At 44.6% G+C, this 13,994-nt stretch overlaps 1 protein-coding gene across 3 annotated transcripts in view, besides 2 other annotated features; it reads right to left on the reverse strand.

Moving 5' to 3' along the window:
• The window catches only part of TBC1D8 (TBC1 domain family member 8), a 144,155-nt gene that overhangs the window by 66,569 nt on the left and 63,592 nt on the right, over window positions 1–13,994 (reverse strand). The gene's annotated exons all lie outside the window — the stretch shown is intronic.
• Window positions 13,139–13,188: a silencer, noted in NCBI's record as "silent region_11818". NCBI's record gives its function as "represses an Ori minimal core promoter by ATAC-STARR-seq in GM12878 lymphoblastoid cells {active_cell/tissue: GM12878}" and the evidence as "EXISTENCE:reporter gene assay evidence [ECO:0000049][PMID:35858748]".
• Window positions 13,209–13,268: a silencer, noted in NCBI's record as "silent region_11819". NCBI's record gives its function as "represses an Ori minimal core promoter by ATAC-STARR-seq in GM12878 lymphoblastoid cells {active_cell/tissue: GM12878}" and the evidence as "EXISTENCE:reporter gene assay evidence [ECO:0000049][PMID:35858748]".

Genomic DNA, 13,994 nt, shown 5'->3' on the forward strand with positions numbered 1-13,994 from the left:
TCCTCATATCTCTCAACCTTCACAGAATTTAAGAAAGTGAGAGTCTTGCATGGATTAGGCTTTGGCTAAAAGAGATGTTGTGGCTTGTTTGGTCTTCTATACAGACCACAAAAACTTTCTCCATAGAAGCAATAAGTCTGTTTTGCTTTCTTATCATTCATGTGTTCACTGGAGTAGCAATTTTAATTTCTTTCAAGAACTTTACCTTTGCATTCACAACTTTAACTGTTTGGCCCAAGAGGCCTAGCTTTCAGCCTATCTCAATTTTTGATATGCCTTTCTCATTAAGCTTAATCATTTTTAGCTTTTGATATAAAGTGAAAGACATACGACATTTTCTTTTACTTCAGCACTAGAGGCCATTGTAGAGTTATTAATTAGCCTAATTTCAGTATTTTTGTGTCTCAGGAAATAGGGATGCCCAACAAGAAGGTGGCCCAGTGGGTGGAGCAGTCAGAATACATACAACATTTATCAATTAAGTTCATCGTCTTACATGGTTCATAGCACCCCAAAACAATTACAACAGTAACAACTAAGATCACTGATAACAGATCACCATTAACAGACATAATAATAATGAAAAAGTCTGAACTACTGAAAATATTACCAAAATATGACAGAGACACAAAGTGAACACATTCCAACGCTGTTGGAAAAATAGTGCTAACAGATTTGCTCAGTTCTGGGTTACCATAAACCTTCAATTTGAAAAACATGCAGTATCTTCAAAGTACAATAACGTGAAACACAATAGAAGGAGGTACACCTGTAGTTAAATGTATTCTAACACCATATAGAGCTTCAAAACCTTAAAATCTCATTCAACTATTCTTAACAGCAATATTGACATTATTTAGAAATGGTGTGCGTGTACGTATATTAGATAAACAGACAAACAATTATGGGAACATTGTTAGAAATCAAGATTTTCAGTATAAGAGAAGAAATATAAAATCAAAGTTAAGTTATAACTATGTAGTTTTACAGTTGAATTGGAAAAGTCAGTATGAACTCATTATTTATTTTTCTTTATCATCACACACACTTTTTAGGTTCACACTTACTTGAAAAGCCTTAGAGGCAATGACAACCCAGTAACAATGAGCACCCCTACAGCCTAAACTGTGGTCCCTAAATACCATTAAATACGCATCATATATCAGTTAAATAATCATTAAAAAAGGAGCCATGGCTATTTGAGGAATGACCAATTCCAAATAAAAGGTAGGAAAGGTACAAGATGAGCATTTCACAGCTTGTTGGCCAGAAAGCCAGGAAGCACTTGAGACAAATGTTACAGTTTAGTCATAGAAGTCGGCTGGGCTCAGTGGCTACACCTGTAATCCCAGCACTTTGGGAGGCCAAGGCGGGCAGATCACCTGAGGTCAGGAGTTTGAGACCAGCCTGGCCAACAGGGTGAAATCCCATCTCTACTAAAAATACAAAAAATTAGCCAGGCGTGGTGGCACGCACCTGTAGTCCTAGCTACTGGGGAGGCTGAGACACAAGAATTGCTTGAACCTGGGAGGTTCAGTGAGCCAAGATTGCGCCACTGCACTCCAGCCTAGGCGACAGAGTGAGACTCCATCTCAAAAAAAAAAAAAAAATGTCATAGAAGTCACAGGAAGGGTGATCTAGTTAGACTTTGTGTCCCCACTCAAATCTCATCTTGAATTGTAATTCCCACAATTCCCACGTGTCAAGGGAGAGACCAGGTGGAGGTAATTGAATCATGAGGGCAGTTTCCCACATGCTGTTCTCATGATGGTGAGTTCTCACAAAATGGTCTTATAAGGGGCTCTTTCCTCTTTGCTCAGCACTTCTCCTTCCTGCTGCCTTGTGAAGAAAGTGCCTTGCTTCTCCTTTGCACCTTCTGCCATGATTGTAAGTTTCCTGAGGCCTCCCCAGCCATGCTGAGCTGTGAGTCAATTAAACCTCTTTCCTTTATAAATTGTCCAGTCTCAGGCAGTTCTTTATAGCAGTATAAAACGGACTACAAATGGGCTCTAATGGGCAGAAGATGGTTCAATCTACATACCAAAAAAATCCTGCAATTAATTGAAACACAGTGAATATATTTTTAAACTCCTGGCTTGTAGTGTTCACTGTATAATTCTTTCAACGTTTCTGTATGTTTGAAAATTTTCATAATGAAATGCTAAGAGCAGGGATTCTTAACTTTAAAATGATACTAAAAAGGGGAGAAGGGAGAGAGAAAAAGAAAAGGAAGCTAAAACAGAAAAATAATAATTCACTTGTCATCACTGCAGATGACCAGGGCACCAACTCCTTACATTAACAGTAGGCAACTACAGAGCAAAAGGAGGCATTTTACCCCATGTTTTCTAAATATATTATGTCTCAGGGTGACCAAATAGCACTAGTTGAAGAGACAAAGTTCTTCTTTACAGATAACTCAAGCAGACAGTTGTAAAAGGAATGATCAAATTAGAAAACCACCATTTCATGATCCATAGAGAAAAAGTGAATTCAGGCAATGATCATAACGGAAAAAAACCTTTGACGAAAGCTTGATGGGGGAGAATGCAATGGAAGCTGTCACCTGAACTCATGAACTAATCTTAGCATCAATAGGAGTGAGACATCCAGATGATACGTGCCTCCTGAGAGAACGCAAAATAAAATACATGGCGCAGCCTATAGAGTATTCTTCCTAAAAACAGCTGCACCTACATTCAATTAAACCTTTATTAGTAACTTCCAGTTTCCAGGAAACATGAAGAAAAGTGCACAAAGTTAAATGATGCCCTGAGGGAGAAAACAGACTGTGCAGCCAGCAGGATATTCCACATAAAAATTGGCCCAACTTCTTCAACAGGTCAGTGGCATGAAAAGAGGGATGGGGAGGAAGAGGGCTGAAACTGTGAAACTGCCTTTGCAAAAATTATAACTGAGAAATTATGAAAGAGATCTGCTCTAACCAATCCTTATCTTGCCTTTAACCTTCAAACTGCCCTTAGTCATTCCTGGGCTTGGGCCAACCTAACTTTGGAAGACATTTAGGTGATAGTATAAATGATGTATTAGTCTGTTCCCACATTGCTATAAAGAAATACCCGAGACTCACGGTTCTGCAGAAGCATGGCAACTTCTGCTTCTGGGGAGCCTCAGGAAGCTTCCAATCATGCTGGAAGGCAAAGGGGGACATTTCACATGGTGGGAGCAGGAGCAAGAGAGAGGCGGTAGTGCTACATACTTTTTATTTTTATTTTTAATTTTTTGAGACGGAGTCTCGCTCTGTCGCCCAGACTGGAGTGCAGTGGCATGATCTTGGCTCACTGCAACCTCCGCCTCCCGGGTTCACGCCATTCTCCTGCCTCAGCCTCCCGGGTAGATGGGACTACAGGTGCCCACCACCACGCCCAGCTAATTTTTTGCATTTCTAGTAGAGACGGGGTTTCACTGTGTTAGCCAGGATGGTCTTGATCTCCTGACCTCGTGATCGACCCACCTCGGCCTCCCAAAGTGCCAGGCTGGAGTGCAGTGGCATGATCTCGGCTCACTGCAACCTCCGCCTCCCGGGTTCACGCCATTCTCCTGCCTCAGCCTCCCGGGTAGCTGGGACTACAGGTGCCCACCACCACGCCCAGCTAATTTTTTGTATTTTTAGTAGAGACGGGGTTTCACTGTGTTAGCCAGGATGGTCTTGATCTCCTCACCTCGTGATCCACCCGCCTCGGCCTCCCAAAGTGCTGGGATTACAGGTGTGAGCCACCGTGCCCGGCCGGTGCTACATCCTTTTAAACAACGAGATCTCGTAAGAATTCACTCACTATCTATCCTGAGGACAGTATCAAGGGGATGGTGCCAAGCCATTCAAGAGAAATCTACCCCCATGATCCAATCACCTCCCACCAGGCCCCATCTCCAACACTGGACATTACATTTCAATATGAGATTTGGTTAGGAACACAGATCCAAACCATATCAAATGATAATAGCCCTTCCCTAAAACTAAAGCACCCTTGGAAAATGAAAGACCACCAGGTTAGGAGGATGAGGGGAGCCTGAATTCTGCTAAGGTGTAGACTTAAACAATTACCAGCCTTTATTCCTGGAAGTCACAAGATTGGCAACTTCTCCAATTACTCCTGCAGATAACAACACTCTTACAGAACCTAAAATTGGCCTTTTGAGATGTCTGTTCAGATTTTTGCATTTCTGATCACAGATGGCTCCACCCGGACCCACCAACTGGCCCAGTCATCCCCCGCAGAAGTGGGCTCAGCACACACAAAGACCATTTCCCACACTGCTAAGATTGTATCCCCAACCAACGAGCAGCTTCCATTCCCTGGCCCACCACACTATCCTTGAAAAACCCTAGCCTCCGAATTTTCAGGGAGACTGATTTGAGTAACACAACTCCAGTCTTCCGTTCAGACAGCTCTGTACATATTAAACTCTTTATTGCAATTCCCATCTTGAGAAATCGGTTCTAAATGGGCAGTGGGCAAAATGAACACATTGGACAGTCACAGTTTTCTTGACTCAAAGAGACTTTAGAAACACAACCAAATGGGTGTGCAGTTCTAGTTAGCTATGGATTAAAACCCAGATCTATGAAGATTCCTGAAGCAAGCAGGAAGCCTAAGAATGGACTGAGTCCAGGGACAACAAGGAATCAAAGTTAACTTTATCGGTTTAGTGAGGGCATTACAGTGATAAGACTGGCCATATTTTTCAGAGATGTTTCCTAAAATACGTAGGAGAGAAATATTATAATTTCTAGAATTTGCTTTAAAATGCTTTGGGGTAGGGGAAGGGCTTAGAGAGGAAGAAATAACTCAAGAAGGGCAAAACTTCAGTCCTCACGCATGTACACAATGAGGTTTCTGCAGGTTTCCTTACACTCTCCTCCCTATTTTGGGACATCTTTGAAAATCTTCATAACAAAAAAAAAAAAGGAAAGAAAAGAAAAACCTTTCTTAGCAAAAAAAAAAAAAAAAAAAAAGGAACAAATATGGATAACTAACTCCTACCTATGAGGAAAATATAATCAGAAGTGAAAATGTGGGGCAAGAAAACGGGCAGAAGTGGTTACTCCCTGAATTTCCTTATTATTTTTTTGATCAGGATCACTACCAGCCCCAGGCAATTCAGATATACAAGGCTCTAGCATATGTCACAGAAGTCAGTGAAAGGCAACCCTGAAGTGGGCCCCCGGGGACCTCATGGAATGGGAGAGACCAGAGTAGGCAGGCAACACACCCACTGGGGTCAGACCAGCAAAACTGGCCAAGAAGGAGAGCTCCAGGCAGCACAAAGTCATGGTGCCTCCGTGCTCATTCCCAATGTTATTTTTTTATCATTAAGGAATCATTTAATAAAAAGTCATTTGCCAGTCATCTCCTTTTGAAACCCACAGCCCCAGTCAATGTCTCTTCATCTACTAAAAATGAAAGGGATTAAACTAGACGCCTGCTAAGGTCCTCTCCAGACGGTTTCCTTGTTAATCAAGTCCTGCTCTACGCAGAAGTTACCAACTGGTTCTGTAACCTATAAGACACTAGAGAAAAGTCTGATTCCAGGCTTAAAAATTGGTTTTTTGTTTTGGAGGGTTTTATTCATGTATTTATTTAAAGACACGGTTTCATCTGTCACTCAGGCGGAGTGCCATCATAGCTCACCGCAGCCTTGAACTCCCAGGCTCGAGCAATCCTCCCGCCTTAGCCTCTTGAGTAGTTAGGACTACAGGTGCGCTCCACCACGCCCGGCTAATTTTTTTTTTTTTCTGTAGAAACAGGGTCTTGCTATGCCACCCAAGTTGGTCTGAAACTCTTGGCCTCAAGTGACCCTTCCACCTCAGCCTCTCAAAGTGCTGGAATTAAAGGCGTTTGAGTCACTGGGTCCAGTCTGGTTTTTTTTTTTTTTTTTTTTTTTGAGACGGAGTCTTGCTCTGTCGCCCAGGCTGGAGTGCAGTGGTGCGATCTCGGCTCACTACAAGCTCCGCCTCCCGGGTTCACGCCATTCTCCTGCCTCAGCCTCCAGAGTAGCTGGGACTACAGGCGCCCGCCACCACGCCTGGCTAATTTTTTTGTATTTTTAGTAGAGACGGGGTTTCACTGTGTTAGCTAGGACGGTCTCGATCTCCTGACCTCATGATCCGCCTGCTTAGGCCTCCCAAAGTGCTGGGATTACAGGTGTGAGCCACCGCGCCCAGCCCCAACCAGGTCCAGTCTTAGGAATAGTTGTTAACATCACTTTTGATATCAGCATTTACTAGATCTACAAGTTAGACTCAGTATGTCCCTGCTTTTCAAATAACTATAAACAACAACCCTAAGGGAAGAATGCCTTGGATGAGTGTAATTATTTGAGCGTAAGCAAAATGACTTTATTTAAAACAGTAAGAGCCTGGTGACAGTAACTCCATAATAGAAAAGAAACGTGAACCGCAGCACCCCGAGCGTGACCGAAAACAAGTGTAACAACTCGCATCGCCTGACCTCAGCGTGGGGACCCAGAGAAAAGCACTGTCTTCCCTCCCACTGGGTTGCTTCCCAGACTTTCCTTGAAGCACCCAGGGTGTTCTGTTCTTGAAAAAAAGATGGGGTTGGCACTTCCTTCGCTACCCTGGTACAAAGTTCACAGAGATGCTAATCTGATCCACCCTGGAACATTTCCTCCCTCAATAAAATTCTCTCTCCAAAGACAAAGCAAACAGTGATGCAGACTGCAAGAAAACCAAGATGCCACCCATGGTCAAGGGCAGGGACAAGAGAATGTGCGTCAGAAAGAACGCTCTGAAAGAACATTCTGTCAGGGATAGCACCTGACACACCCGCAGTGTTACCGATGCCTGAAGCAGCCCTGGCAAGTCCCTGAGCTCCCTGTGGCTTGCTCCTTGCCTCTCCAGAGCCAAAGCATCACACTTCCCAATATAATATTGAGAGGAACAAATAAAGAAAGTATGGGAAAGGGAAGGATTGTTTAAACTGGAAAGCCCAACTCTTGTACTCTCAATTTTTTTTTTTTTGGAGACAGGGTCTTGCTCTGTTGCCCAGGCTGGAGTACAGTAGCACGATCCCAGTTCACTGCAGTCTCAACTTTCCAGGCCCCGTCCCACCTCAGCCTCCTGAGCAGCTGGCACCACAGGAGCACTACCAGGCCCAGCTAATTTTTAAAATTTTGTTGTAGAGATGGGGTCTCACTGTGTTGCCCAGGCTGGTCTTGAATTCCCAGCCTGAAGCAACCCTCCCACCTCAGCCTCCCAAAGTACTGGGATTATGGGAGCAAGCCACTGTGTCCAGCTATTCTCAATTTTTTAAAACATATGCCACATTTTGATTTATGAAAATATCACAAACTTCTTTAACGATCTTTAACATTTCAAAAGGATGTTTTTTCCATTTTCCAAATCTAAACTATTAAGTAAGCTTTTTCAAACTACACACATACTCCCTCCCAAGATGTGGCAGTGCCCCTGCCCACCAGGTAAGCTCCTGCTCTGCTGGCACCCCTGCACCCCACAATGCCCAGGTAAGGTGGTCTCCTGACCCTCCCCTGCTACAACGTGGCACTTTCCTTTCTTTCTGTTTTCCTGCTCCCCATTTCACTCAAGACCATGGGACAGACCTTACTGGCTACATAAAAACCTTGCACTTAAGCTACCATAAACAGAGCCAACAAACTACTGGAGCAGCCCAGAGTCCAAACTTGGATCTGCAAAGCAGTGAGTGTTATTAAAAAGACATCTGTACAAAGGTTTGACAAGTTTTTCATGAAAGGCAACCCTGAAGTGGGCCCCCTGGGACCCTCCCCATGCTCTCGGGAGGACCCCCACCCTGGCTGCCTCAAAGTAAGGCAATCAGGAAGTCCTCTTCCAGTAACCAGAGGAGACAGTCCACCTCATGCCTCAGTTAATCTACAGGAAAAGGAGTCCAATTATTGCATAATCAATTCAATTCTTAGAATGATCTAGGCAGATAATTCAAAGTCCTGCAGTTCTTGCCTGTATTTTCTTTCTGCTTCCTGAAAACTGGGCAAGAACAATGCACTCAATGCACAGGGCCATGATAAAAAATAAAATGTGTACCCAGGTGTGGTGGCTCATGCCTGCAATCCCAGCACTTTGGGAGGCTGGGGCAGGTGGATCATTTGAGGTCAGAAGTTCAAGACCAGCCTGACCAACATGATGAAACTCTGTCTCTACTAAAAATACAAAAATTAGCCAGGCGTGGTGGCAGGCACCGGTAATCCCAGCTACTCAGGAGGCTGAGGCAAGAGAATCACTCGAGCCTGGGAGGCGGAGGTTGCCGTGAACCAGTATCACACCATTGCACTCTAGCCTGGGCAACAGAGTGAGACTCCGTCTCAAAAAACGAAAAAGAATAAAATATATGTGTGAATAATGCAGTTGGTAACCTTGGGAATTACCTACCAAAAAGAACATGAGACATCGACATCTCACATAGGAACATGATAGGTAACTCTCAGCCTACAACAGCCTGGACTTTCCAAGCACAGGACAGAGTCATGACTAAGACCATCAGATACGTAGAAATGGCAATGAAGTCTCCTTGTTCATCCAGAGACCCAGAGGGCTCTGCACGAGATAGGCATCAATGCAGCCAAAAACCGGCCCTCCTGCAGGCTGGGCACCCTGGCCCTCCCAGCATTCCTGCTCCCCATGACCTGACTAGGAATTAGCTCCTAGGATTTTGCTCTCCTGGTTCCACACACCACGTCCTTGTTTCGACTTATGCCCAATCATTCAGAGATATGATTTCAAACAGAAAGCCGACTTACAATGGAATATCATTCAGCTGTAAAAACGACGGACTTTCTGACACCCACTGCAACATGCGGGACACTTGAAGATAGGATGCTGACTGTAATAAGTGGTCACCAAAAGACCAACACTGCTCGAGCCCACTAACACGAGGTGCCCGAGTAGGCAAATTCCTAGAGACAGAACCTGGATCCCATCTGGGTTGCCTGGGACTTGGGGAGAGGAGAGTGAGGAGTGAGTCTTTAACAGGTAGAGTTTCAGTTTGGGAAGATGAAAAAAGTTCTGGAGATGGATGGTGGTGATGGTTGTACCATTCTGCGAATGTACTTCATGCCACCAACCTGTACACTTAAAAATGGTTAAGACAGTCAATTTTATGTTATATATATTTTACAACAATACAAACATTTGTTTTTTAAAGAAATTAAGAAACATCCCTGTTTTTCAAGTTCTTCCGTTGCACGTTGGTGGTGAGCAGGTCCATGCCTTGCCTGGAATATCCCTGGCCTGGCTCGGCAGAAAGCGCCCAAGGAGTTTCATCTGTAACTGCATGCCTTACCTTCACTCTCTTTATATGAGGAAGTCTTAACTGCTGAGACTCCCCTCCTTCTCTCCCATACTTCCCCACTTATTCACCCACTCATGGTTTACTGAGCATTGATGACACGTCAAGCTCTGTCCTAGGCATCAGAAGGTCACAAGTATGACTCTCAGAGAAATTTTACTTCCATGAAGTAAAAGGCAGACAAAAATCAAGTCAAAGGAGAGTTGGTGACAAGTGAGTGCCAGGATGGAGGACGCAGGTGACAGGGAGTCAGGGAGGTGACATCTCAGCTCTCATCCAAATCACACCACCCACAACCTCCCAAACAACTCACAACCACTCTCTCCTAGGATGTCTCCACCCACTGAAGCTGGTAATCTTTATAAAGCCTTGGGATTCTCTGGTCCATGTTAAGTTAAAAATAATAGGAATTCATTTCTCCTTCCAAACACAGTCAGCCATAGGTATCTTCTGCCAAATAATAATGTAGTTCACCCATGAAGTTATCTACCTATCTCTACTTAGAAAAAAAGGAAAAAAACTTAACCTCAAAGGCCCTCCTATGTCTCCCCATCCTGCTGTGCAAGCAGCCAAACTCAAGTGAAGATATAAATCATTCGTGCAGGCCATTCTTCCTGTTCCCACCTTGTCCTGGGGCTGCCCAGGCCCTTCCTACACTTCTTGTTTGGGCTTTATCTGAGACTTGAAACCCTGGGCAGGGGCCTTTGCTCAATGCTCAAGACACAATAAAATATTAACTACGGTGAGTCAATAACACAGTGCAAGATGCCCAAGGCACTCCCAGAAGAGGCCTAAGGATCTAAATTGATACCCTGGGTCCATGACAGAAATACACTCAACAATTCTCTCTTCCTTAACCCAAGAAAAGTGCACTGAAAGAACAAATTCTTACTCAAGGGATGTTCTGTGGGCAAGAAGGCAGCAGAAAGTGATGCATCTACAGACCTGGCCCGGGTCAGGCCTGAGGCAGAAATTGCGCCCAGTGGGAACTAAAGGAAGCTGATCTCGGCTCAACAGAAAGAGGGTCTAGGAGTTAACCTGCTCAGGACTCCTGCACTGCTGGAAGGGGAGGACCCAGGGAAGCTGGCACAAACGTCATGGCAGGCAATTTGGCAATAAACACAAAATGCATTAGGAACACACATCCCACCGGGTGCAGTGGCTCATGCCTGTAATCCCAGCACTTTGGGAGGCAAAGGTGGGAGGATCACCTGAGGTCAGAAGTTCAAGGCCAGCCTGGCCAACATGGCGAAAACCCGTCTCCACTAAAAATCAAAAAATTTGCCAGGCACAGTGGTGCGTGCACGTGTAATCCCAGCTATTCAGGAGGCTGAGGCAGGAGAACTGCTTGAACCCGGGAGGTGGAGGTTGCAGTAAGCCGAGATCGCATGACCGCACCCTAGCCTGGGCAACAAAGTGAGACTCTGTCTCAAAAAAAAGAAACACACATCCCTTCCATGCAGCCGTTCCTCAGGATGTGCTCTGCAAGGGTGCTTTTCTCTCGGGCCTCCCTAGCCCTCTGCCCACCTGCACCTGTTATTCATGTTGCTATCTGCCTTCCCCCAGGTCCTGAAAAGCTAGGTGCAGGGAGACTGCCCCTCACACACACAGCGCAGAATCTCCGACATCAAGCATGTGTCTGGTACGTGGCAGGCAACAAACATTTCAAATAAATGGACTTAAGGGATTGTGAAGTGTCCTGAAAAGTTGACATGAATGGGTATTCACTATTTTTTTTTTTTTTTTTGAGACAGAGTCTCGCTCAGTCACCCAGGCTGGAGTCCAGTGGCTCGATCTCCGCTCACTGCAAGCTCCGCCTCCTGGGTTCACGCCATTCTCCTGCCTCAGCCACCTGAGCAGCTGGGACTACAGGCACCTGCCACCAGGCCCAGCTAATTTTTTTGTTTTTTTTTAGTAGAGTCGGGGTTTCACCGTGTTAGCCAGGATGGTCGCGATCTCCTGACCTCGTGATCTGCCCACCTCAGCCTCCCAAAGTGCTGGGATTACAGGTGTGAGCCACCGCGCCCAGCCAGGGTATTCACTATTAAACTATAACAGTTTAAATGCTTTTAAACTATTAAAAAATCCAGGCCAATTAAGTATCCAATAAAGGATTGGATGAGTAAATTGAGCTACAGCCACAGAGTTGAATGCTGTGTGGCCATTAAGAACATGGTATGGCTGTGGTTACAAAGGGCATGGATTCAGGAACAGAACAGAAATGTGGGCAACTCCCCACCCTGACAACTCCCCAGAAGCCAACCTAGGGGGGAGAAAAAAAATACTCATATCAAAAGCTCCAAATCTGCAAGAAATGTGAAAAAGAGGATCCTACTCTCTCACCCACCACATCTCGTCTAGCGAGATGCCAGTCCTCCTTGCCCTGTTCCCATAACACGAGTTAAAGTCACACTACGTTAGCGCCAATATAACGTCCGGGATAACGATGCCCAAGCATGAGCAAGACAAGGAGAAACAGCACTGCAAACAAGCAAACACTCGACTGCTAAAGAAAATGAATGGATGAGAACGCAAGGTTCCAAAGAAGAGATTCTGTGCTAGAAGAGAATGGAACACTCAAGGAAGAAAAGAAAATTCTCACGAATGCTTCATGCTCCCTAACAACTGAAGAACACGGGTTCAATAAAACAAGCACTCACAGATGAGCTAATGGGTAACAGATTAAAAGGATGTTGGAAATCTAACAAAATGAATTGAGGATCAAAACAACTTGACAACAGGCCGGGCGCGGCGGCTCACGCCTGTAACCTCAGCACTTTGGGAGGCTGAGGCGGGTGGATCACGAGGTCAGGAGATTGAGACCATCCTGGCTAACAGGGTGAAACCTCGTCTCTACTAAAAATACAAAAAAATTAGCTGGGCGTGGTGGCGGGTGCCTGTAGTCCCAGCTACTTGGGAGGCTGAGGCAGGAGAATGGCATGAACCTGGGAGGCAGAGGTTTCAGTGAGCTGGGATTGTACCACTGCACTCTAGCCTGTGCAACAGAGCGAGACTCTGTCTCAAAAAAAAAAAAAAAACTTGACAACAAAATTAGTAGATAAGTTAAAAGCAGCAAGGTATAGAATATACTGCTGCAAACCAAATTATTAACTCAAAAGAGTTATGAGCTGAATGGAGAACACAGATGAAAAAGATAACAAAAAACAGAAATGAAAAGCAGATAACAGCTATCCAACATAAAGTATCCTTGAAGTGGAAAAGTTAAATGAAATGTAAAATGCATCAAAAAATATAATACATACACAGAATGATGCAAGAAAATTTCCTAAAGTGATTAAAGAAACCAATCTGCAGACTGCAACAGTATACTATGTTCCAAAACATGTAACACACTATGCTCACAGTAGTTACAGATGCTAATCAAGTTACTAAACTTCAATGATAAAGACAGAGTTGTGTGCACAAAAAAAACTCATCATATGCAAAGCAAAAAAAAAAAACAATCGGTGCTGCCTGAGATTTCTCCTATTGGCCTATCAAATACAGGAAGGCCCTAGAACAACAGCCACCAACCTCTAGACAAGGATGTCCAATCTTTTGGCTTCCCTAGGCCACATTGGAAGAAGAAGAGTTATTTTGGGCCACACATAAAATACACTAACATTAACAATAGCTGATAAGCTTAAAAAAATCGCAAAAAAATTTCTTTTTTTCTTTTTTCTTGACATGGAGTCTGACTCTGTTGTCCAGGCTGGAGTGTAATGGCATGATCTCGGCTCACTACAACCTCCCTCCTGGGCTCAAGCGATTCTCCTGCCTCAGCTTCCTGAGTAGCTGAGATTACAGGCACCCACAACCACCCCTGGCTAATTTCTGTACTTTTAGTAGAGATGGGGTTTCCCCATGTTGGCCAAGTTGGTCTTGAACTCCTGACCTCAGGTGATCCGCCCGCCTCAGCCTCCCAAAGTGCTGGGATTACAGGAGTGAGCCACCGCGCCCGGCTGAATTTCATCATGTTTTAAGAAAGTTTACTAATTTGTATTGGGCTGCATTCAAAGCCCTCCTGGGCCGCACGCAACCAGCAGGCCACAGGTTGGACAAGCTTGCTCTAGAGCATAGCCTCAAACTATCACCCAGCCAAAGTGTCACTCAAGTCCAGAAACAAGGGCAAACACTGGCAAATGGGAAAAAACATTCAGAAAATAGGACACTGACATTATGGAGGGAAAAAAACAGGAGTCCAGCCAAATAAGAGATAAAATACTCTGGATTGGGGCCGGATGCAGTGGCTCACACCTGTAATCCCAGCACTCTGGGAGGCCAAGGCAGGCAGATCACCTGAGGTCAGGAGTTTCAGACCAGCCTGACCAATAGGTAAAAAAAAAACCCTGTCTCTACTAAAAATACAAAATATTAGCCGAGCGTGGTGGCGCATGCTTGCAATCCCAGCTACTTGGGAGGCTGAGGCAGGAGAATCACTTGAACCCAAGAGGTGGAGGTTGCAGTGAGCTGAGATTACAGCATTGCACTCCAGCCTGGGCAACAAAAGCAAGACTCTGTCTCAAAAAAAAAAAAAAAAAAATTCCAGATTGGGAAATCTATACCTGAGTAAAAGCATTAAATCAATGTATAAGTGAGAACTGAGCTAAACAATAAAGTAAGGTTACATGACAGAATGGAAAGTACAATGTAAAACTAATAATAAAACTT

Source organism: Homo sapiens, chromosome 2 (genome assembly GCF_000001405.40).
Source record: "Homo sapiens chromosome 2, GRCh38.p14 Primary Assembly".
In the NCBI taxonomy this organism is placed as follows: Eukaryota; Metazoa; Chordata; class Mammalia; order Primates; family Hominidae; genus Homo; species Homo sapiens.